Here is a 25754-nt window from a genome sequence, read left to right as displayed (position 1 = left end):
TTTTCTCTTGCACTTCTTTCTTTCATACCTTCTTGACTTTTTCCTTTCTCCTTTCCACTTTTCTCTCCTCCCTCTCTCCTTCTTTCCCTTTCTCCTTTTCTTCCTTCCTTCTTTTCTTTTATCTCTCAAATTAAATTCATTCTGAAAAGATTTCTTGAGGCTTTTTAACCCTGCACATCACAATTTAAATTTATATATTTGAACTGTTTATCAAATGATTCTCTTTTATAACTGCTTTCTTTAATCATTTATCTATTAACAGACCACCAGACCCCAAAATGTCAGTGCTTTAATATAGTAAAGGTTTATTTCCTTTTTATGGTACAGTCCAAAGAGTCAGAAGTTGGGGCAAGGGTGTGGGTGCCAATCAAGATTATGAAATGAAATTGCCCACTGGATCTTCTGCATCTGGTTGGCAGACAAGGGAAGAGTGAGAGCAAGGAAAATGCCATGAGAGGTTTTATTAGAAGCCAGACCTGGAAGTGGGGAACATTATTTCTTTCCATATTTCATTGGCCAGATTCATTAGAAAGTTTCAGTAAACCTCAGGAAAGCCCAGGAAATGGAATCTACCTCTATGCTCAGGAGACAAAGGAAACTAGGTTTGGTAAACAAAAGGATCCTCCCTGTCACACCACTTCTAAAGAATAATGACATTAGTTACAGCTTTTGTTCAAAATGCCTTAAAAAGCAAGCCTTTTAAGTATGTATAAAGCATGATTTCACCAACATCTCCGCCCGCAAACCCCTCTAAACTATGAGCTAAGTAAGGACAGTGAACAACTGTTTTCAGGTAGGTATTTTATCCAGTATTTCCAGAATGTTGTCTTTATTTCTTCTACAGTGCTTCCAACACTTCCTGGTTATTATACACTCATTTTTAATCTCTGTATCCAGAGATAATTTAAAAATCTGGTATGCACATGTATCATGCATTATGTTTTTTAAGTTTAATGTGAGTCCTAATAAGTTAAAGTCATTAATGATTAGATAAATGCCATTTTTATCTGCTTTTTTGTTCTTCAGTCCAGATGAACAAGGTGTGGATATTCTTATAGTGCTCATATTTCGATACCCATCTACTGATAGTGCTGAACAAATCAAGAAAAAAATTGAAAAGGCTTTATATCAAAGTTTGAAGACCAAACAATTGTCTTTGACCATAAACAAACCATCATTTAGACTCACACGTAAGTCTTTTATTTTTATTTGCCACTTTTGTCATTCCCTCCTCTTACAACCCTCTTTAATTTTTGTAAGCAATATATATATATATATATATTTTTTTTTTGGAAGATATATATATATATATAAAATCTCAGCATGGAATAAAACTAAAATAAAATTCCACTATGAGGCAAAATTTAGTATTACAACTTTTTCTTTTTTCATATTTTACTAGGGCTTTTAATAAGCTTTCTAAACTTTTTTCCATATCATATGTTATTGGGTCCTTACAAAAGTTCCAAAGGGTAAGTATTACTTTCGCCATTTTACAGGTAAAGAAGCTGAGACTCAAGGAAGATGTGAGACATGGGATTAGCAAACCTTGGGGCTAGAATTAGACACAGGTATTGTGACTCACAGAGGTCTTTACAGATCATTTCTGGGGGTTATTTTTTACAGTATCAAAGAAAGACATCTTCATGAAGGTTTACCCCTGTAGGAAGAGCCAGTGACATGAACTGTAAAGAGGTTCTCTAGCTTGTTTCCAACTTAAAACTATTTTTCATCACTTCCTTATTTATTGCTCATGAATTGAAATAGGAAAGTTCTTGTTTTGTTTTCCTTCCAAAGCGGAAGAAAAGGAAGTTCAAAAAGTTTAGGAAACTAAAATTCAAACTACCTTACAGCTAGTTGGAACCCGAGCTGATTTCTATTCCAATATGTAATTGAAGGTAGTAAAATAATGCGTTTCAAATAAAATTTTAAATGTCAAGGGCAGGACCTGTGTCTTTTTATTTTCTTTCTCCTCCCTCAAACACTAGCATACATGTCACATGTGATAGATGTTCCAGCTCCTTTCATTGCTTCTTGTTATGTATTTCCAAGTTTAGTTACTTCTAATTTAATACAAAAAAAGATGGGAGAGGGGCTTGTATTTTGGACCCAAAAGACTTCTCCCTTCCCAATAGTCATGCATTTATTTAGGAAACAAGTTATCTAAAGTTAATTCTTTTGTTGTTAGAAATCAGGAAAGTTCTTTAAATATATTTTGAGATAGAATCCCCACAAATATTGTTACATTCTCAAGAAGTAATTAGAAATAAGGGAGAGTACGGTATCCACCTTGATTGTTAATCAATTATATTCCAAAGTAAAACAAAGTATTTTCCAGCATTCTATAAGTGGAAATCTCAATTCCTGATGATATAACTGTGCCTAAGCCACAATCATATATCCTAAAGTAAAATATCCATTACAAAAGTGACATTATATTATGTTTACTGAGTTGTTACAGCTGTAGAGTTTCTTATTGTATAATTTATTAAAAAATTTTGGCATTGTTGGTTACATACAATGATTTTTTATGATACAAGTTGTTTTAATACCAAAATAACTAAATTCTCTGACCATGCTCAATAATGAAGATTTAACTGTGTATGTTTTCTTCTGCCACATACATGTATTTTGTTAAATAGACATATCCATGAAACCTCTAGTAGGAATTGGGGCTCGCATCCCTTTTTGGGGAGAAGTCAATGTTTCTAATAAAATCACTGTAATTCCCCATGTTCTCACTGACAAACAGAAAACCAATCACTAACCCAACAAACATCTAATGTAGCTGAGTTATAATGAAAATGAATGAATAAATTTGAAGGGAAAAAAGATGTCACAGAAGGGAAACATAAAATGAAGTGAAAGTTTGTGTATGGCTGGAGTCTCTGGACTGGTTGTATGTGAAAGAACTTCATGCCTCTAGTGCCTGCTGCCTGAGCCACAACCATCCAAGCCATTCACAAGAGAGAATCCTCAGGGAGACAAGGTTATCAACCTGCATTGACTAAATTCCTAGTCTGTTAGATCAGGGCCTTGAAATTGGGCCCTCAGGGGTCTGTGATGCATTTAGCTCCATAGAGCTACCATTTCTGACTGGCCATTAGGAATATGCCTAAACCATATAGGTTGGTAAACACCAACTGTGATGGGAATTGGAGGTTGCTGCCTCAGATTATACTGGAGCCCCCAAAGAAAGCAGTCAGGGACATTTATCTTTATTTATTATTTCCTAATTTCCTAATTTCTGTTTCTTTTTCCTGAGCAAAATCAGGAAATAAAATGCTCTCTGATTTAATTTTAAATTAAATTACACAATTTGGACCAAAAATAAAATCAGAGTAAAGGGTTATTTATATATGACTTGATTATGAAAAATCTCATATTCTCTTGAAATATGTATGCTTTAGATAATTCACATTTCTATTAATGACCAGTTGAACAACACAACATGAAAATGGGAATATATTCTTCTGCCAACTAATTCATGTTTTGCTTATTCCAGCTATTGACAGCAAAAAGATGAGGAATCTTCTCAACAGTCGTAAGTTCCAAAACCCACAATTAACTGTTTATTTCACAGTAAAAGATCATGAAAAAAGTTATAGAAAAGTTGGCAGTAAAGTTTACCAAGCTTTTTAAGACTCATTTTATATTTTTGTAAACCGAACACTTAGTCTTTTTATTATTTTTAGCATTTAAGTATTTAAATTTATAAATTTATACCAAATACAATTCTAAGTTTATATGACCTACGAGATGTGGTTAAAAACACCTTACATAATATTCTAGATATTATATTAATATTCATTATAAATAACTTTTAATATTATCTAACAATTCAAGAGAGTGTTTTAAACTGGTAACATTTAGGCTTTAATTTTTTTTTAATTTGCTTGCATTTTTATTGAAATATCTGTTATGTACATTCTCTTGCTCTTCCTGCCCTGCACCCCACATTCCAGCATTGGTACATAGTTAAGGTCTATTGTGGACAAACATGCCCATTAAAAATGTTGTAACACTTTAAGTTCTCTTTTAAGATTGACTTGAAATCTAGTCAATTGAGGGTTTGAAATCAGGGAAGAAGAATTTTTTTTTAAACTAGCCTTTCAAGTTTTAAAAGACCAAAAAGGTCGATAGTGTTTAAATCTGTTAAAATACAGGGCTTTGCAAACACAATAAATTGATTCTCTTTAGTCATTAGTTAAGGGAAAATCATGACCTACAGTTAGTATTGGGCTCTCTCTCAGTAATAAGGATACTGCTACTAGTTTTGGTGTGGATCCTCCTAATTTTGTATCCCACTCTGTCACTTACCAGCTGGGTGACCGCCAGCAATGTTCCCTCTTCAAGGCTTAATTTTCTCATCTAAAAGGTATGTTTCTATAAATACATCTAAGACACATAGCAGAGGATCTATACATTTTTGGTGCTCAATGAATTATCTATATATGCTTTATAAGGAGAGATAGAAGTTAATTCCTGGACTGAATGCCTTGAAATGTTAGTAAACATTTCTTCTGAACCTCAGTAGGATCAGCAAGACCTGTATCAAATAAGCTCAAAGGCTGAGTGCTATGAATGGTTCACATGGTAGCAGGGACAAAGGATTGTCTATAACCAAAGCAAATCAGAATATACTTTTTTCCTCCTTTTTATGAATATGAATGATCATGTATTTCTGTGGCAGGCTGTGGAATAAGGATGACATCTTCAAACATGCCATTACCAGCATCCTCTTCTACTCAAAGAATTGTCCAAGGAAGGGAAACAGCTATGGAAGGGGAATGGCCATGGCAGGCCAGCCTCCAGCTCATAGGGTCAGGCCATCAGTGTGGAGCCAGCCTCATCAGTAACACATGGCTGCTCACAGCAGCTCACTGCTTTTGGAAGTAAGTTAACCAAGGCTGCTGTGAGCCTTCTTTTCACAGTCCTCATCTGCCACTGATTTAGCGCATCAGAAGAGTCCAGTCTCTCCAGTTTAACCTTTGCTCCATTCAGGGTAGACCTAGCTGTCCCCTAAATGGATTATGCTTCCCCTATGCCCTATCTATGATGGTTAGTTTTTGTCATTTGTAGTTCTTACAGATTTTCCTCTATCATCATGACCCTAGTGCTGTCTTTCCTATTATATATTATATAAAATAATATGTAGATTATTTTAGTGTGAAGACTATTACACATGTAACAAGTTTAATCTCTTTTACATACTCAAGAAGAAAGTCAGCTACTTTTGTTTTTTTCCAATTAATCCCTCTAACTTTCCACTGTCAGCATTGCCATCACTTTACAAATAAGAAAAGAATCATAGGTATCCCTCTTGAAGTTCTCACTTCTCATTGCATTCTCTAGGAACCCTGCAGGCCTGTATGGTCCAGAAAAGTGTGTGGAAGGTGGGAGAGACCTGCTACCTTGTCTTACTCCCCTCACAGTATTCAAGACTGGTTATGTACAGCCCAGCAAAATCTCTCTGTTTGGGCTTTCATGGTTGTACCTCTTAAAACTCAGCTGTGTCACTTCATGTACAGAGACATACATAGGCACCCTACTGCCCCAAGAGGTCAGGAACACACCATCTTTCTTCCCTGAGGTTTTACCATCATGGTACAGAAAGCTTTTCCTTCTAAACTCTCAAAGACAAAACTCTAAATAAAGACCCTTTGCCTGGCCAGTGGCACTACTTCTGCACCCTGCACCTTATTAAAGGAGCCTATCCCTGGTGATTCTCAGAGGTGCTTTATCATCCTTCTAAGGGTAACATCCCAGATGGTTCCAAGATACTAAGGTGATTATCTGTTGCTTTTTCGCAGAAAAGAAGAGAAAAGGGACTCACTTATATATGTGTATTTACAACTACCGAAATAACTGGCATTATGCCTTATGGGCAAATTTGAGTCCCACTCACTTGTGAAGATTTTCTAATTTTTTCATATTCACACAGTCCTCCAATCTTTGCACTTCTGTTTTTGTGAGAGTGTCTTCCATTTTAGTTTATAACTGATCTCTCTTTATGTAAATTAAAAATAAACAAATCCAGAATTCCAACTTAATATTTAGTGAAGAATACAGGCTGTGGCGATTGAAATACTTGTTTCAGCAGGTCCAGTGCAGGCTCTGGGTACTCACAGACCTACATGGGAATTGCCCATTGAGCTTGATGAAGTAGAGATTACTAGTGACTTTGATAAAAGAAGTTTTTCTAATGTGATAGGGATGGGAATGATTCAATAGAAAATGGAAGGAGGATTAGATGCAGTAAATTTTTAAACTGCTTTTAAGAAGTTTTTAAATGAAAGGGATCAGACCAAATTTGACAGTTGAGGGAAGTTGTGAAGTTAAAGGAAAGATTTTTAAAAATATGGGAGACACATTATAGCATATTTTATGCTGATAATAATAATCCAAAAGAGTTGGGTAAAGTGATGATCCTAGAGAAAAAAAAGTGCAATTTAGAAGTGATATATTAATAATTTCATGTAATCACACAATGTGGTATACTGTTGTGAAGGAAAACTACGTGGTACTTTGAAGACAATATTGCATTATTCACATCTTTAATTTTTTTTTTTTTTTTTTGAGATGAAGTCTCGCTCTTTTGCCCAGGCCAGAGTGCAGTGGCACTATCTCAGCTCACTGCAAGCTCTGCCTCCCGGGTTCACGCCATTCTCCTGCCTCAGCCTCCCGAGTAGCTGGGACTACAAGCGCCCGCCACCGCGCCCAGCTAATTTTTTTATTTTTAGTAGTGACAGGGTTTCACCGTGTTAACCAGGATGGTCTCGATCTCCCGACCTCATGATCCGCCCGCCTCAGCCTCCCATAGTGCTGGGATTATAGGCGTGAACCACCGCGCCCGGCCTAAGTTTTTATAAATTTATTTTTTCTGCAGAAATAATGTATTTTCAAAATCATATTTAAGACAAACCTTAAAACCTTTATGTCTATGAAAAATGATTACAGTCTTTGTGAAACAGTGTGAGTGGGGAAAACATTCTTGAAAGGATGGAAAGAGACCAGAACCATCTCCTTTTGGCACTAACCAGCAGAGTGTCACTTACCTGCACAAATCACCGAACTTCTGGGTCTTAATTTTCGTATTCATAAAACATGTTAAATTGGCCTATCAGGTGAGGCTTCCTTTCTTATTGACAATGCATAAAGGAATGGGATAATTTTTATTCTCTATCTGATTCATTTGTAAACTCCTTAAGGCCTGAAGTCATATATGTCTTTGTATCTCTGAGAATTCTAGTATCTAGTGTCTAGTTTTCAAATGGATGCTTCAGTTAGTCCTAAGATTTCAGGTTTGAATAAAATCTTATCTTAATCTCTAAAGAAGTGAAATAGATGAGAGCAGAACCCCTCCCATCTCCCTGCTCTTTTTTTTTTTTTTTTTGAGACAGTCTTGCTCTGTCACCCAGGCTGGAGTTCAATGGTGTGATCTTGGCTTAATGCAACCTCCACCTCCCAGGTTCAACAAGCGATTCTCCTGCCTCAGCTTCCTGAGTAGTTGGTACTACAGGCACACACCGCCACACCCAGCTAATTTTTGTATTTTTAGTAGAAACGGGGTTTCACCATATTGGTCAGGCTGGTCTTGAACTCCTGACCTCATGGTCTACCCGCCTTGGCCTCCCAAAGTGCTGGGATTACAGGCATGAGCCACCACACCTGGCCTCTGCCTGCTCATTTTTAGGGCAGTGCAGCACTTAGGAAACCACTGATCTTTCAGGTTTTTTTTTTTTATTACATTTAAAGGTTGATGATTCACCAACATAGTAATCCTTTCTTCAACCATAGAATTTCAAGTTACTATATATTTCCAGTCACCCAGGATGAGGATAACTTTAAAAAGAAAGAACCAGGCTTTGGAGGACCATGAGGAAGTAAAGACATAATAGGACTAGCTAGAATTTGCTGGTGATATAAACCTTGTGGGAGAGAAAAGCATCTATGGGAGAGAAAAGCATCTATGTGAAAGGAGAACTGAAAGTCTAGTAAGAGGGACTGACCAGGCCAGATCCATGGGCGGTAGGAGCTGACTTTGAGTTAGGATTAGTTAGCCCTTGTATATCAAGGAGGGATATGGGCGTAGGGTAGAGAAAAAACCATGTGTATACATGAAGGTTTGCAAAGCAGACAAATTACGCTTCACTTCAACGATCACAGTAAAACCAGTAAAATAAGAACCAAAAAGTGAGTCATAAAATAAGAATCGGTGGAAGATATGACATGGAGAGAAAATGCCTCTTACTATGTATATTATCCAAAACAAATCAAAATTAATTACTACACAGTTTGTTGAAATTAAGGAAAAAAGAACCTGAAGAGTTCCCAGCAAGCAAGAACTTTAAAAATTGGAAATTAATCAGTTATTAATTATTTGTACATAATTAATTGTAATAAATTTAAAAACAATTTTTTTCCTATTATGTTATCAACTACAAACTTTCTCACCAAAAGAATGTTTCAGGAGCATAATACTGACAGTTGGGAAGAAATACAGTCTCAGTCTTTTTTACAGAATTAAGTCAAGCATCACAAGTATTACTTTTTAATTTTTTGCAGAAATAAAGACCCAACTCAATGGATTGCTACTTTTGGTGCAACTATAACACCACCCGCAGTGAAACGAAATGTGAGGAAAATTATTCTTCATGAGAATTACCATAGAGAAACAAATGAAAATGACATTGCTTTGGTTCAGCTCTCTACTGGAGTTGAGTTTTCAAATATAGTCCAGAGAGTTTGCCTCCCAGACTCATCTATAAAGTTGCCACCTAAAACAAGTGTGTTCGTCACAGGATTTGGATCCATTGTAGATGATGGTGAGCAGTTTCAACCTAATTTTCTTAGCACAAGAATGTCTTGAGATCAAACGAGCTATCTATCTTAAAGAATCCCTCTTAAGCTTTTAATAAAAGTAATGGTCTTTCCAGTATGTGTGGCCTTGGGCAGAACAGGAGACTGTGGGTTAAAAAGTAAAAATCAGGTCCTGTATTTGAGTTTACAATTGGAGCAGTGGTGGCCGGGTGTGGTGGCTCACACCTGTAATGCCAGCACTTTGGGAGGCCAAGGCTGGCGGATCACCTGAGGTCAGGAGTTCAAGACACACCTGGCCAACATGGTGAAACCCCATCTCTACTAAAATACAAAAAAAATTAGCTGGGCATGGTGGTGTGCACCTGTAATCCCAGTTACTTGGGAGGTTGAGGCAGGAGAATTGCTTGAATCTAGGAGGCAGAGGTTGCAATGAGCTGAGATCGAAACATTGCACTCCTACCTGGGTGACAGAGCTAGACTCCGTCTCCAAAAAAAAAAAAGAAAAAAAAGAAAAGAAAGAAAGAAATCTCCTCAACTGCTCAACTAGAGCGGTGGAAAAAAAAAAAAAGTCAGGGAGAGAGACTAATATAGAAGGAAAAGAAACAACTGCATCAGGTGATATAAGAAGGGACAGAACACTATGGGAGTGCAAGGCAGTAAGTAATCACAAATTTTGTCTTTCCTAGATATAAATATGTTACATATACTTTAAATCACATATACTTTATTTTATTCAGCATATAATTTAAATCGCAAATGTAATGATAGCTTTTTCCTTTGTTTATTTTAATTATTTCTCATTGTATGAGAATTTATGATGATCATAAACATTAAAGTGGGTTGTAAATATTTTGAGCATTTTTTTTGGTTAGTCAATAAAATCTGTATCTTTTTCCTGTGTCCAACCTGCTAGGGGTGTTAAAAGACATCAAGTCTAGTAATTGTATAAATTAAACACCAGAACTTAAGATTTCTAGGTACTAGTTCACTCTACGTTAAAGAGAAAGATTAGGCCAGCGGTGATGGCTCAAGCCTGTAATCCCAACACTTTGAGAGGCCGAGTCGGGCGGATCATGAGGTCAGGAGATGAAGACCACCCTGGCCAATATGGTGAAACTCCGTCTCTACTAAAAATACAAAAAAAAATTAACAGGGCATGGTGGTGCAGGCCTGTAGTCCCAGCTACTTGGGAGGCTGAGGCAGGAGAATTGCTTGACTCTGGGAGGTGGAGGTTACAGTGAGCCGAGACTGCGCCATTGCACTGCAGCCTGGTGACAGAGCAAGACTCCATCTCAAAACAAACAAAAACAAAAACAGAAAACAAAAAAAAAGAGAGAAAAAGATTAACTGAATGTTTTAATGAGAAATAAGAAATACTTAAGTTTCCGCCATCAGTTGGTGCGGTCCATGGTGAGCTCATCATGGCGATTGAAGGTGGAGAGAGAACCTGTGGAGTACATGAACTTACCTGTTTTAGAAAAGTATCTCCAGAGGCAGTTGGGTTTTTGTCAGCTGTTTGGGTGTTTATTATCCTGATGCTGCTTCTTTTTCTCTATATTAATAAGCAGTTCTGTTTTGAAAATGTTGGAGGGCTTCCAGATCTTGGTTCAGAATACAGTACAAGGAACAATTCACAAGATAAAATGTGTCTGTGACTCCCAAATGAGCGTGTCAGAAATGTCTTGTAGTGAAAGTACATCCGCATGTCAGTCTCTCGAAGACGGGTCAGTTCCAGAAATTCTCATTAGCCTGCTTTATAATGCCACAAATGGGAGACTATCAGCAGAAGTGATAAAAGGCAGCCACTTAAAAAATTGGGCAGCAAACAGACCACCCAATACATATGTTAAGTTAACTCTACGGAAATCCACGGATCAAGAGATGTCCAAATGCAAGATATCCATCCGCAGAGGGCGGCCAAATCCAGTATACAAGGAAACTTTTGTTTTCAAAGTGACCCTATTTCAGCTTTCTCATGTGACACTCATGCTGTCTGTGTATAACAAAAGCAGCATGAGAAGAAAGATGATAGGCTGGATTTATTTAGGTCTCAACAGCTCTGGAGAAGAACTCAATCACTGGACTGAAATGAAAGAGTCAAAAGGACGGCAAGTACGTAGATGGCAGGCGTTGCTAGAGTCACGATGAATACAATAAGCAAACAGTTACCATCCAATGCAGCATATTTCTAATTACAACATTACTGTTTCTACCAAGTCGCCATTGGAAGAGCTGTTCTTTGAAGAATCATATTCAACCTTTTACCAAAATGCTTTAAGTTCTATGGAAAGAACATCTAATACTGAGATAAATGAAGAAAATATGTGTATCTGATAGAGCTTGTTTGGGAAACTGAGAAACGTACATTATCATTGTTAAACTAACAGTCCTCCAGAAATTTAATAAGATGTTTTTGATTTGAAGTTAATTTTAATTTAGCAAAAGAGCCGGTAATTTTATGAAAAATCAAAATTATAAGTGATTTTAAAAACCAGAGTTTTAGTCGCAATATAATTTTAATATCACTCTACATATTATTTATAAAACATAGTTTGGCCAGTCCCTGGTGTTTGTAATGTTCTTTAATATGAAAAAGTAGTCCTCCAACCCTATCGTAAGTCATATCTAATGGCGAAGGGTTTCAGTCACATTGAAAATTGTTTTATTTCAGACATGTTCCTTTTGTGCACTTAGTTTCATTGTGCCTCAGTTCCTCTCTATAGCACTAAATCTAAGTGCAGACAAGCATTCGTTTTCATACAGGAATGTTTTTAATATGTTAATTTTTTTTTAAAAGTTCATTTTTCATTTGCTTCTGCTTTTGCCTGATCCAAAGAGACAAAGTCACTGTGCTGGTCCCTTGCAAGTCTTTAGACAGGTTGTACTGTAGAACTACGTAACTTTCTGTTGAAAGCACTTCCTGTATTCTTGTATTTCAATGTAGGAAGCTAGTAGAGCAAGACTTTACTTTAAAATTTCTTTCAGTGATTGACTCTTCAAAAATTGCAGTAATGTGAAAATACATTTTTTTTTACAAACTGAAAACACAGCAGATAAGCTGTAGAAAATGAAAAACGATTCAATTTTAATTTTCTGCTCTGAGTATTTAGTAACCAACACTGCCTAAAGCAGGTAGCATCCAAAATAAGAAACTATTCTCTCTCTAAATCTTCACTCTTACTTCAATTTACATTTGTGATATAAAGACTATGCAGTTCTCAGTTTAAATCGGAACATCATGTTAAAAACAGTTCTGAGATTCCTTACGAAGTTTCCAATAACTTGTGACTAGACTTTATGAAATTTACGGATAAAGTTCTTCAACATGATGTTATCTTGTGCCTTTCATGTAAGTTGAATTTGCTCATACGGCTTGAAAGTTGTATTTGCAAAATTAAGCCTTCGATTTTTATAAATGCAACGATTCCTCAGAACAGTGTCGCAAGATCTTTATTTCCTCCGAAGTATGTAAAAGTTGTATGATGTGCTAATTTTGTAAATGGCAAGTCACTTTCATTTGTTTTTATATTTAGAAACTCTAATTAATCAGGAATATTATAAGCTGTTTTCTTTATAATTTTGCTTCTTACCTAATGTATCATTTTATGCATATACTTTATTAAATAGAGTATGTTTTATATATATTAAAAATAGTTTCTTTTTTCTCCTTCTCATTTCTAGTTCAAATAGACAAAAACATACTATTTACCAGTTACTAAAAAGCAGTATATCATTGCTCCTAGTCCCAAAAAAGTACTATATATTATTATAAACTAGAACTTGTTATTACCATAATAACAAAACAATGCATAGATGTTACTTCAGCTTGGATATACTGAAAGGCCTTAAAAGAAATCCAAAAAGACCGTGAAATTCTGTATTTTTTCATTTAAAAAAAGCAGCTCTATGCATTCATACACATGAATTATAAGAAAAAATACAAAAGGTATATTGGATGACATGAGGTTTGAGAATGTGTTTTACAGGGCTGCATTAAAGGGAAAAATTCATATTTTATTGTTACATCAATGAGCTTTCTCCAGGATTTTTACAATAAACGAGTAGGAATTAGAACCTGAAAAAAAAAAAGAGAGATACTTATGTTTCTGTCAAGGATATCCTGAAAAAAAAACTAGTGTTAATATATCTTTTTTTTTTTTTTTTTTTTTTTTTTGAGTTGGAGTCTCACTCTGTCACCCAGGCTGGAGTGCAGTGGCGCCATCTTGGCTCACTGCAAGCTCTGCCTCCCAGGTTCACGCCGTTCTCCTGCCTCAGCCTCCTGAGTAGCTGAGACTACAGGCACCCGCCATCACGCCTGGCTAATTTTTTTTTTTTTTTGTATTTTTAGTAGAGACAGGGTTTCACCGTGTTAGTCAGGATGGTCTCGATCTCCTGACCTCATGATCCGCCCGCCTCCGCTTCCCAAAGTACTGGGATTACAGGTGTGAGCCACCACGCCTGGCCAACTACTGCTAATATATCTTAATCTAGCTTTTTTTTTTGACAGAATTTTATTATATGAAAAGTTTTCCAAATGCCCCATGCATATCCAACTTGGCTTTGTGAGAGGTTCTTAAAAGTCTCTTACAGCTAACTCAGGGCTACTCACCAATAGCTTCAACCCAGAGCCCTAAACTACTTATTTTCGATATTCAACTGTGCAGTATCCTCTCCTCCTAACACCCAGCCCTGTTCTGTGTTGTCATCAGATCACTAGCACATATTGGGCATTCATTTTGTTTCCCATGCTGTGAGACACCCCTAAATAATACATGACAGAGTAGAGTAGGGTGAAGAGATCTGTGCAGCTGTCCTGGTTTCTACTTGAATAGCTTTAGGAATGTCAGTGAACTTCCAGGGACCATGGTTTCCTTACATGGAGAATGTGGCAGTTGGACAAGATCAATGTTATGAACCTGTATGAGAATCTAATGAGGACTATGGACCCTCTCCTCATGAAAAAATGCATGCGTATGTAGTATTTTGCATGTAGTTTTAAGGCTCCTAATATCCTTGAAAGATCTACAAATGTGATATAATACTGGAACATGTATGTTTATGATTCCTTGCATGTAGACATTTATGACAGAAAATAAGATGATAGCTAATGTTAATAAAATAATCTTTGGCTTTTGCTACAATTTATGTGTCTTCTATGTCTTAGATACAATTGTATTTGAGGAATACTGTTTATTTGTTTTTTTATCCATTTGTGCAATAGGACCTATACAAAATACACTTCGGCAAGCCAGAGTGGAAACCATAAGCACTGATGTGTGTAACAGAAAGGATGTGTATGATGGCCTGATAACTCCAGGAATGTTATGTGCTGGATTCATGGAAGGAAAAATAGATGCATGTAAGGTAAGTTTAAAGTCAAGGCCAAAAGTTTATGAGGAAAGTTTCCATTAGCTATTTCTGAGTTTGGCATATATTTTACCTAGGAGAAAAAAAAATGGCATCTCTTACACCGAGAACTGACTTTATTTAATAATCATAACAATAACAATAATTGTATTGAGTGTTTAATATACGCTAAGCCAAAAATTAAGCACTTTTTATACATTATTTCATTTAATGTAATGAGATAAAAGCAATATTATAATTACCATATTCATCCCCCAGCCTCCCAGTCATTTCCCTTCGCCCCTCACATTTTTTAATGACAGCGACAGCTGAAACAAGTTTTCTTTCCATTCCAAGCCCTGCATTAGCAACACTGACCTGTTTAAATGCTGGACTTTTAGTTCCTAGACCTCCTCTTCTCCAGTGATCTTCTATACTCTTCAGCCACCTCAGACCCTCCTCTTAGAGTCACACTATGGGCCTTGTTATCAAAAACTACTCCACTCCAAAAGTGCTCATTTGCATCTTCCTTTTTGACTACTATCCCCCAGTGTTTCCCCCTTGCTTTTTAACTACTGCTTCCCTATATACACTTACTATGTTATACCCTAGTCTACCAACTCTCATTCCCAACATGCACAACCTACATGTACATTCCTTGTGTCCTTTCTTTGTTCTATTTTTCTCCTCAGCCTTTGTCACCATCCAGTATGCAGTATGTTTATTTATCTAGCTTATTTCCTGTTTCTCCACTAACTAAAATGTAAGCTTCATGAAGGAAGACATATTTTAATCTATTTTATTTACTGCACCTGAAATAGACTGGTGAAAATATGTGATGACTGATTGAATGAAAAAGTCTTTTTTCAACTTCATAGACACCTATTGTCCATTGATTCCTCTGTTTTCTCACAGTTCATTAATCATTTCCTTTCTTCCAGCTTCTACTTTTCCAGCTTAGATTTCACTGTCCATTATTTTTTATTGATAAATCATAATTGTATTACATCTATGGAGTACAATGTGACATTTGATACATGTATACAATGTGGAATGGTTAAGTAAAGCTAATTAACATATCCATCACCTCACTTAACATTTTCTCTGTGATAGACATCTAAAATTTACTCTCTTAGCTATTTTGAAATCTATAATACAGTATTATTGATTATAGTCACCCTGCTTTGCAGTAGATCTCAAAACTTATTCCTTCTCACTGAAACTTTGCACCCTCTGACTAGCAACTCCCCTTTCCCTCACTCTCCACCCGCCTAGGCTCACCCAGACTCTGGTAATCATCAGTCTACTCTCTACTTCTATGAATCCAACTTTTTTAGATTGCACATATAGGTAAAATGATGTAGTATATGTCTTTCTGTGCCTGGCTTATTTCACTTAGCATAATGTCCTCTAGATTCATGTATGTTGTCCCAAATGGACAGAATTTATTCTTTTTATGGCTGCATAATATTTATTTTGTAGATATACCATATTATCTTTATCTCTTCACACATTGATGAACACTGAGGTTGATTCCACTTAGGTGGTTTAAATTCATTTCCCTAATGATTTGTAATACTGAGCATTTTTTTCATGAATGTGATGGTCATTTGTATGTCTTCTTTTGAGAGGTATCTAAGTCCTTTGCCAATTTTTTAAAATCAGGTTTTGTTTGTTTTGTTTTTTGCTATTGTGTTAACTTCTTTATATATTTTGGATATAAGCCCTTATCAAATATATGGTTTGCAAACATGTTTTCCCATTCTGTGAGTTGTCTCTTCACTTTATTAATTGTTGTTTTGTTTTGTTTGCCGTGCAAGCTTTTCAGTTTGATACAATCTGATTTGCCTATTTTTGCTTTTGTTGCCTGAGTTTTTGAGGTAATATTCAAAAATCCTTGCCCAAACCAATGTCATGGAGTTTTTGTCTGTTTTCTTCTAGTAGTTTATAGTTTCAAGTCTTAAGTTTAGGTTTTTAATCCATTTTGAGTTTCTTTTTGTGCATGGTGTAAGGGTAAGGGTCTAATTTCATTCTTCTTCTCCTTTTTTTTTTTTTTTTTTTGAGACAGTCTCGCTTTGTCACTCAGGCTGGAGTGCAGTGGTACGATCTAGAATCACTGCAACCTCTGCCTTCCAGGTTCAAGTTATTCTCCTGTCTCAGCTTCCTGAGTAGCTGGGACTACAGGCATGTGCCACCATGCCTGGCTAGTTTTTATATTTTCAGTAAAGATGAGGTTTCTCCATGTTGGCCAGGCTGGTCTCGAACTCCTGACCTTAAGTGATCCACCTGCCTCAGCCTCCCAAAGTGCTGGGATTACAGGCATGAGCCACCACGCCCAGCCTAATTTTATCCTTCTGATATAGATAACCAATTTTCCCAGCACCATTTATTGAATAGACTATCTTTTCCTCAGTGTGTATTCTTGGCATCTTTGTCAACAAATCAATTGACCATAAATATATGTGTTTTTTTCTGGCTTTCTATTCTATTCCATTAGTTGATGAATCTGTTATTATGCCAGGACCACACTATGTTGATTACAATTGCTTTATAAGACATTTTGAAACCAGGTAGTATAAGGCCTGTAGCTCTGTTCTTTTTGCTCAAAATTATTTTGACTATTCAAGGTTTTTTTTTGCTTCTATATGGATTTAAGGATTGTTTTCTTTCTTTGTGAAAGAAATGGCATTGGAATTTTGGTAGGGATTGCATTTTAACAATGATAATTTTAACATTTTAATGAACATTTTAACAATGATAATTCTTTCAATCCATAAACATGGAGTATCTTTTCATTTTTGTGTTTTCTTCAGCTTCTTTCTTCTATATTTTACAGTTTTCAGTATACAAAGCGTTCACCTCTTCAGTTAAATTTACTCCCAAGTGTTTTTTTTTTTTTGCTATTTTTTTTTTGTTGCTATTGTAAATGGATTGTTTTCTTAATTTCCTTTTCAGACAGCTCACTATTAGTATATGGAAACACTACTGAGTTTTGTATATTGATTTTGTATTCTGCAAACTTACTGAATTTGTTTATCTCTTCTAACAGCTTTTTGTTGGTTTTAGGGTTTTCTATCTATAAGATCATGTTGTCAACACACAAAGACAATTTCATGTCTTCCTTTTCTATTAGAATGTCTTCTATTTCTTTCTCTTGCCTAATTTCTCTAGCGACAACTTCCAGAACTGCATTGAAAAGAAATCAGAGTAGATATCCTTTTGATGTCCCTGGTCTTACAGGAAACACTTTAGATTTTTCACTATGGCTTTAATAATAAAAGCCAATATATGGCTTTTATTGTGTTTGACATACACCTATTATGTTGAAAGTTTTTCTTACAAAAGTGTGTTGAATTTTTTCAAAAGCTTTTCCTGCATCTGTTGAATGGATCATAGTTTTTAGCCTTCGTTTTGTTAATGTAATGAATCACACTTATTGATTTGAATATATTGAACCATTCTTGCATCTGAGGGATAAATCCCACTTGATAATGATGAATGATTCCTTTAATCTATTTGAATTTGGTTCATGAGTATTTTGTTAAGGATTTTTACATCCTATGTTTATCAGGAATATTGAAGTGTCCTTATCTGGCTTTAGTATCAAGGTAATCCTCACCTTGTCAAATGAGTTTGGGAGTATTCCTTCTTAAGTTTTCTGGAAGAGTTTAAGAAAGATTGGTATTATTTCTTCTTTAGATGCTTGGTAGAATTGAATTGTGAAGCCATCTGGTCCTAGACTTGACTTTGGTGGGAGACTTTTTAATTACTGATTCAGTATTCTTACTTATTATTGATCTGTTCAGGTTTTCCATTTCTTCAGGTTTTCCACTTCTTCATGATTCAGTCTTAATAGGTTGTTTTACCTTCTTAAATATTTCTGCATCACCATTTCTCCTTTCTTTGCCTCTCTTTCACACTCCTTTCCTTCCTCCCTTGACCAGACAACTACACTAGCTGTCTTGCTAATTTCCTCATTTTTACTCTTATGCTCCTCTCATGCGTTAGTCAAATAAGAGCCAGAACCATTTCCAAAAAAAGGCTAATCATGTCAGATCTCTCTCTGAAACACTTCAGTGGCTTACCTTTAGTCTTAAGATACAAACAAAAACTTCTAAACAAGACCTATGAGGCTCTACATGGACTTGTCTTTCCTTACCTTCCAGACTCATCACACACTATTTGCCCCTCTTACACTCCTCTCTACATCCACCTCCTTTTTTAGGCCCTTGCATTTGCCAGGCTCCTTCGCGCCACAGAGCATTTGCAATACTGTTCCCTCTGCCTATAACACACCTAACCCCCACTTCCCTTGTGCTCTGCTCTTCTTCCTTCAGATATCAGCTCAATTATACTCATCAGGGGAAACTTTCCTGTTTTTCCTTATCAGTCAAACTTCCCTGTTGTGTGTTACCATAGCACGTATCATGATGGTAATTTTGCATTTGTTTTTGGGCTTATTTAATATTGTTGTTGTTGTTGTTGTTTTTAACCTAAACTTCAAACTCTATGAGCACAGGGGCCTGTCATTTATGTTCATCATTTTATCCCTAACAGACATCAGATTGCCTCAGACATAGAATAGGAACTCAATAAATAGTTAATTAAAGAAACAGATAAATAAATAAGTGAGGAAGTGACACAGAAAGCTTAAGTATCTCACCTAGGGTCATACAGCCAGTAATTAATAGAGCTGGACCTGAAACCGGCATTTCAGCTGCTGAGACCACACTTTTAACGACCACATGTTTATTTGTTTATTTACTTAATCTTCTTTGTTCTTATTTTTGTTTTCCAAATGAGATTTAAAGGAGTTTATAAAAATTTAGCAAGAAAACTAATTAGAAATAGGTGAGTAACAGAAAAGGAGACCAAAAATAGGTCCATAAAATACAATCAAGGTGACAGCATTTGGAAGAGATCCTTGAAATTGTATACCTAGGCTTACAAATGCTAATCTCACATTTAACATTTTATATACATAGTTACTAAACCATGCTAAACAGGCCTGTTCAAACTAGAAAAAAAAAACCTAAGGATACTGATACAGAATTAATGTAACCATTTCCTGTGAATGAATGTTAGCCTTCCTATGAAAAACAATGCCCTTTAAAGTTTAGCAAAAATTTTAATTCAGTTGAGAGACCCATTATATAGTCTGTAGTCTGGCTGTGGTCTGTGTACCAATTTCCTTTTTTCTCTGTGAACGTCAGATTACAATACCTTCCCACTGAATTAAAGTAGAGTTAACAATTTAAAATATGTTTTTATTTCAGGGAGATTCTGGTGGACCTCTGGTTTATGATAATCATGACATCTGGTACATTGTAGGTATAGTAAGTTGGGGACAATCATGTGCACTTCCCAAAAAACCTGGAGTCTACACCAGAGTAACTAAGTATCGAGATTGGATTGCCTCAAAGACTGGTATGTAGTGTGGATTGCCCATGAGTTATACACATGGCACACAGAGCTGATACTCCTGCGTATTTTGTATTGTTTAAATTCATTTACTTTGGATTAGTGCTTTTGCTAGATGTCAAGAAGCCCTTCAGACCCAGACAAATCTAATATCCTGAGGTGGCCTTTACATACGTAGGACCAAACCCTCTCTACCATGAGGGAAGAAGACACAGCAAATGACAGACAGCACCTATTCCTTACTCACAAGGGAAACTGCTTGTGATACTTCCTAATAAGATAAATAAGTGGTTTCCCTCAATTGAAGACAGGAACATCATTTTCCACAGGATATGAAGAGCTGCCAGTAATGCCAAAATCTTACCTCATATAATACCTGGAGCATGTGAGATTCTTCTAGTGAAAAAGAACAGTCTTCCCTGAAGACTCAGGGCTTCAACATTCTAGAACTGATAAGTGGACCTTCAGTGTGCAAGAATGGAGAAGCATGGGATTTGCATTATGACTTGAACTGGGCTTATATCTAATAATACAGAGCACTATCTCTAACCTCAACAGTTGACATTTTAAAAGTTTTTAAATGTATCTGAACTTGCTGTTAACACAGTGTTATAACTCAAGCACTAGCTTCAGGAAGCATGTTGTGTTGTTAAGAAGCTTTTCTGATTTATTCTTTAACAGCATCTTGCCATCTATATGTTAGTAGCAGTTGGCCCAGAAAGGACAAAAAAAAAAATTAAGACTCTTTGGAACGTTTTTCCATGAGCACAGGAGGATAAAAAGAAGCAGATGAAGGCTAGGAGAATTGGTTTCAAATAATTAGTAACAGGACAAGCACGCTAATTTTTGATGGAATGAGTTATCCAATTATTTACTTAGAAATATTTATATCAGTATATGGCAACTGGTACTTTTGTAAGTCTTCAGCTCTCTGACAAGTCAGATGTCCATCAGAGTATCAGGTCAGGTGTCTATCAGAATATCAGAGCTGATTTGTGTAAAGCTTTGTGTAAAGCACGTAGGACAGTGCCTTGCATATACTATGAACTAAATAAATCTTTGTTATATGGAAATGAATGCCTTGGCAAGCTTTAAGATAAATGAGCTCAATTTTTTTTCAAATAAGTGGTACATACGGCCCAAATCCTAATGATGGTAATAGTGATAGAAAACATGGACTTTGAACCAGGCTCCTCAAGTTGAAACATCGTCTCTGCCTCATAGGAGCTGTGTGTCCTTGCTGAAGTTACTTAACATCTCTCTTCATTAACTCTTTCACCTCTACAATGGGAATAAAAGTGGTACTACCTCATAATAGTTGTTTTGAGAATTAAATGAATTAACACAAGTAAAACACTTGCAATAGTGTCTGCACACGGTAGTGTCTCATGGATTAGCTACTATTTATCATTAATAATGTGCTTTAGACTCAATAAAACTTACTATACTTTCAAAAAATTGATCTTTGCTTCTTTAAAGCCATGTAATTGATTTCAAAGTACTTTGAATTACGTTGTAAGACAAATTCGGTGAACTACTATAATTTTTTCAAAATCACTTTTATGCCTTATTAATATATTTTGCACTATGTCTGCTTATAGACAAGTAGTCATAGGATGTGACAATCATCTGTCACCATAGTTCTGACTACAGAGATGCATCCGTATTTCTATAGACCTCAAATGTGAGATTAGATTTGCTGCTCTGATTTATTAGAGAAAAATCTAGACTATTCATTTCCCTAGTGTTGGAAAATTTTGTTAGTTTACATGTACATGTGTTTATATGTGTTTATATGTAATTGAGAGAAATACAACTAAAAATATCTCCCAGTTATTATTCACATCTCAGTAAGATATAAACACAAAAAGCTTATCATACACATTTCCTCTTTAAAAATGAAATGTCATCGAATTTCTGAGTCAATGACTAGGAGTAACTACCACCAGAGAAAACAGAGTAAAAACTTAAATTCTTACATGTCCTTCACTTAAACTCCTACAGTTTGCATATAGCACAGAAACATTTAAAGTTTTTGAGAATGTTTAGCATATTAAAGATGGGCTTGATTGATGATGAACATATTTTATATTAAAACTAAACACTTCCTTTAGTAGATAGAGGAAAGCAGATCTGACTACCAAAAAATTACTTTCCTCTATGTAATTTCTATAACCGTGAATATGTGTTTTGTGTAATTTTATTTATATTTAATAAGACTGTGATACCTTTTTGTGAATAAGTATCTGTGAAACTGTGTATACTGATTTAAATATTTCTGTGCTTAATTCAATTGAATTCAATGATATTTAAGCACAAATGAGAGAAATAAATACACAAGGTTATAAGAAAATCCAATAATGGAAAAGTGGATTTTTTAAACAGAATTTATATGTCCTATTTCTATTTAGGTGTCTGACTTATTGATTGGTTTTGTAGGAATCATGTAATGTTTTTTACCTCATGTTTTCCATCTTCCAAATGGGACCTTAAGCTGTCTACCTTATGGCATTGTTGTGAGACTTTTGAGATGAATAATAAAGTTGAAAATTCTATGAATGTTCAAAACTTACTCAAAAATGCAAAGTATGTCATTGTAAACTGATATCATTTCGGATGATGCTGAAAATCCATTAAGATTTTAAAGAAGTTTGGATTTTTGTACAGTATTGGCATTTTTATGCTTTGTGAAGTTTGAAAATATATTTGTGGTTAAAAACAAAACAAAAAAAATCCTAAAACGTAAAAAAAAAACCAGACTTTGCCTCCTGTGTGATGATGCTATAGTAATATTCATATATTTTCATAGACAAAAACTTATAATTTGTATGACTCTTTTTAAAATACAGGTCAAATCCATTAAGCTGACAATAAATAAGGCAGCTCATAATCTCTGTGCAGTCCTGATGGAATTTTGGGTGGCATGAGAACTCTAGTTAGTTTATAATGCTAGAACAATATTAGACCAAAGTTGTTGCCAATAGCTGACCATCTCTCAGTGAAATCTATATGATTCAACAACAATATGAAAAACAAAAACATTTTAATAGTAATTTATTCTTTTCACTGAATAAACTTATTTCTTTGTTAATGTATTTATTTGATGGACAAAGGAGGTATGCAAGGAATCTCTTCATGCAATCATGAAAATGAAAAATAAACTTGAAAGCTAGAATCGTAGCTATTAGAGCTGTGAGAGACCTAAGAGATTATCTACATCAACCTCCTCTTTTGACTGATGTGAAATCAAGGCCAAGAGAATTCCTGCAAGGTTATACAGTGGATTTTAGATAGTGGAGGAACAGAATCTAAGAGCCCTAGTATCCAGTCCAGTCTTTTCTCCACTATTCTAACCTGAGTTATGCAGGTTCAGTAGGCAGGATCATTGCAGACCTACAAGTCACTAAACTTAAATGACTACTGCCAAACTAGTTTCTCCTAGTAGTTATAAATATGCTAAACCAAACAGCATCTCCAATAATTATTGTAACTTTAGCAATGAAACTGGGAATTCCTCCTTTCACTTCTGAGTTCCAGAAGTAACACAAGGGATTTCCCCAACATCAGCTGTGATTCTTTTTACATGACAAAAACTAGCCCCAATTTCTATTATGTTCTAAATCTTTTCCTCAATAGACCTAAATATACTATTAGCAATTGCAGTACTATTCATTCGAGTAGGAGGTTGAGGAGGACTCAAACACAATAAAAAATTCTAGCCTATTCATCAGTTACCCACATAGGTTGAGTAATCGCAATTTTAATTTACATCCCCACCATCACTCTCAAATCTACAATTTACCTAATATTAACAGTAACCATATTTATACTACTCATTGCAAATATAAGTAACACAACATTATCACTATCCTGTATGTGAAATAAATGACCATCACTAACATCTATAATCCTTGTTATTCTACTATCCTTAGGAGAACTGCCCCTGCTAACAGGATTTTTACCCAAATGAGCTATCATTCAAGAAATAACAAAAAATAATAGCCTCATTATACCTACATTCATTGCTATCATAGCTCTTCTCAACCTGTACTTTTATATACATCTAATTTATTCCACATCACTAATGATGTTCCCAACAACTAATAACATTAAAATTGCAATTTTAAAACATAAAACAGATCCTCCTCCTACCACCATTCATTATTACCTCAGCCCTATTCCTGCCAATCTCACCAATATTTTAGATATTAAACTAGAAACTTAGGTTAAATCAGACCAAGAATCCTCAAAGCCCTAAGTAAGTAAATTATGCTTAATTTCTGTAATTCAATAATAAGAATTGCAAGATCTTATCTCACATCAATTGGATGCCAAAAAAAAAAAAAAAGTGAAGTAAGCTAAACTTACATGGTGTTCTGCAAAGTATATTGTTGGACCAAACCAGTTTTATGATTAAGACAACAACCTACTTAAAACCATATTCAACTATACCTAAGGAAACAGAAGATGAATAGAGTGTAGGCAAAGCTACTAAGCTAGTTAAATAGGCAGATCATAATACTTCATGGGAAGTTTACCCCCCAAATTCATACCGTATTCCATCCTTTTCTCACTTTCCCCACAGTTATAATTTTTTAAATTTTGAAGTAATTTAAAGCCTTAATATGATAGAAATAAAATATCCACACCATATTTTAAAATAAGGCAGCAAAAGATTTCAAGCCTTATTAAAACACCGAATATCTGTTTTACTCTTTACTTTTTCAGAATATCTGTTTTATAAAAAAAAAAACTATAGAAGCCCACTAAAATGCAAAAAATAAACAAGTTTTGATTAAGCCACTTTTGTAAATGCTTACAGTTAACATTCTTTTACAGGTTTCAATATATTCCTTGCCTTAAGGTTTTAACTATGACTAATAAGAAATGAGGAAGATGGCCTGTAATCCTAGCACTTTGGAGGCTGAGGCGGGTGGATCATTTGAGGTCAGAAGTTCGAGATGAGCCTGGCCAACAGGGCAAAACTCCGTCTTTACAAAAACAGAAAAATTAACCAGGCATGGTGGTGCGCGCCTGTAGGTCCAGCTACTCAGGGGACTGAGGCAGGAGAATCACTTGAACCCAGGAGGCGGAGGTTGCAGTAAGCTGAGATCACACCACTGCACTCCAGCCTGGGCGGCAGAGCGAGACTCCATCTCAAAAAAAAAAAAAATAAGTGTAAAGCATATTATTATAAACTGATTTCAGCACAGACAATGCCACACATTTGTTAAGATTGTAAATAAGATTTTATATAATGTTAGCATTTTTATCCTTAGTGTTTGTCCTATATTGATAATCTTTAGGAAAAGTGGATTCAAAGGTTTAACGAACAGGCTAGAATTCACTATGAGAAAAGGGGAAATTTAAAAATGGAGAGGAAAAATAATCTAAGAATAAAGAAGAAACTATTGGAAAGACAACTACTAAGCTATTTGATGAAAAAATAGCTGTAATTCAGAACAAAGATTATTTTTTAAGAAGTAAAGAAAATGGATTATTCACCACCTTTGAAAAATATTAAAGAAACATTATGACACCTACTTACTGATGGGGGGAGAGCACGCAATTGTACCAACTTAACACAACTATTTTTAATTTTATTTTCTAATTCGTGTATATATGAATGCATTTATTTCACAAATTGACATAATAGCATTATAAAATGTATTTCTCCACCTTAAATTATATATTTTATGACCATATTTTGTATGTAACCGTCAGTTTTGATGTCTATGATACATCAAATAGTTAAGGCACAGAGACCTAGCCCAGGACATTAGGCTAGTCTGTTGTCAATTAAATTTAATATCAGGACCAGGAACCATAAGTATGGCATCCTGCCCTTCCCCACTCTATGCACCAATGAACACTCTGTGACCACTTGTCATTTCCCCTATTTTGTTCCTTACCAATAATGAGTGTGATTTCTCCCCCTTTACCCCATACCACTCTCTCCTCCACTGGTTTAACATCTCTTTAGCACCCTCTTTCCCAGCTGGTTTCACTGAGTCCTCCTTGCTCCCTTTCATTAAAATGCTCCTATACCTTCAGCCTCTCCACGGAATGCTTCCACGTCATCTTACTAAAGTCTGGATGTCACTATCTAAAACATCACTTTGTTTTAGCCATCTCAAGTGATTGTTTATTCTCCCTGGCTTTAA

At 35.4% G+C, this 25754-nt stretch overlaps 1 protein-coding gene, 1 long non-coding RNA gene and 2 pseudogenes across 6 annotated transcripts in view; 3 read left to right on the top strand and 1 right to left on the bottom strand.

The window, feature by feature from the left end:
- Positions 1 to 20315, top strand: part of TMPRSS11F (transmembrane serine protease 11F) — a 76672-nt gene extending 56357 nt beyond the window's left edge. For 3 of the 4 annotated variants that reach the window (NM_207407.2, XM_047415669.1, XM_047415670.1), the window contains 6 exons: positions 1027 to 1190; positions 3506 to 3544; positions 4694 to 4895; positions 8569 to 8828; positions 14045 to 14187; positions 19446 to 20315. In NM_207407.2, coding sequence (NP_997290.2) covers positions 1027 to 1190; positions 3506 to 3544; positions 4694 to 4895; positions 8569 to 8828; positions 14045 to 14187; positions 19446 to 19604 — 967 coding nt within the window. In that variant the 3' untranslated portion in view covers positions 19605 to 20315. Of the gene's footprint in view, positions 1 to 1026; positions 1191 to 3505; positions 3545 to 4693; positions 4896 to 8568; positions 8829 to 14044; positions 14188 to 19445 lie in introns of those variants that run through there. The other variant, XM_011531935.2, reaches the window with a different exon arrangement.
- LOC550113 (uncharacterized) lies at positions 280 to 20005 on the bottom strand. Its single transcript, NR_046116.1, has 3 exons — positions 19955 to 20005; positions 10292 to 12898; positions 280 to 408 (listed from the first exon to the last, which is right to left on the bottom strand). It is a non-coding gene; the product is annotated as an uncharacterized LOC550113 (long non-coding RNA).
- SYT14P1 (synaptotagmin 14 pseudogene 1) lies at positions 10216 to 12903 on the top strand (annotated as a pseudogene). Its single transcript, NR_027094.1, has 2 exons — positions 10216 to 11601; positions 11662 to 12903. The product of NR_027094.1 is annotated as a synaptotagmin 14 pseudogene 1 (transcript).
- On the top strand, positions 23035 to 23807 carry MTND2P41 (MT-ND2 pseudogene 41; annotated as a pseudogene).

Source organism: Homo sapiens, chromosome 4 (assembly GCF_000001405.40).
Source record: "Homo sapiens chromosome 4, GRCh38.p14 Primary Assembly".
NCBI classification, from domain to species: Eukaryota; Metazoa; Chordata; class Mammalia; order Primates; family Hominidae; genus Homo; species Homo sapiens.
Note: the sequence above shows the minus strand (reverse complement) of the source record. Positions and strands in the feature narration are given on the sequence as shown.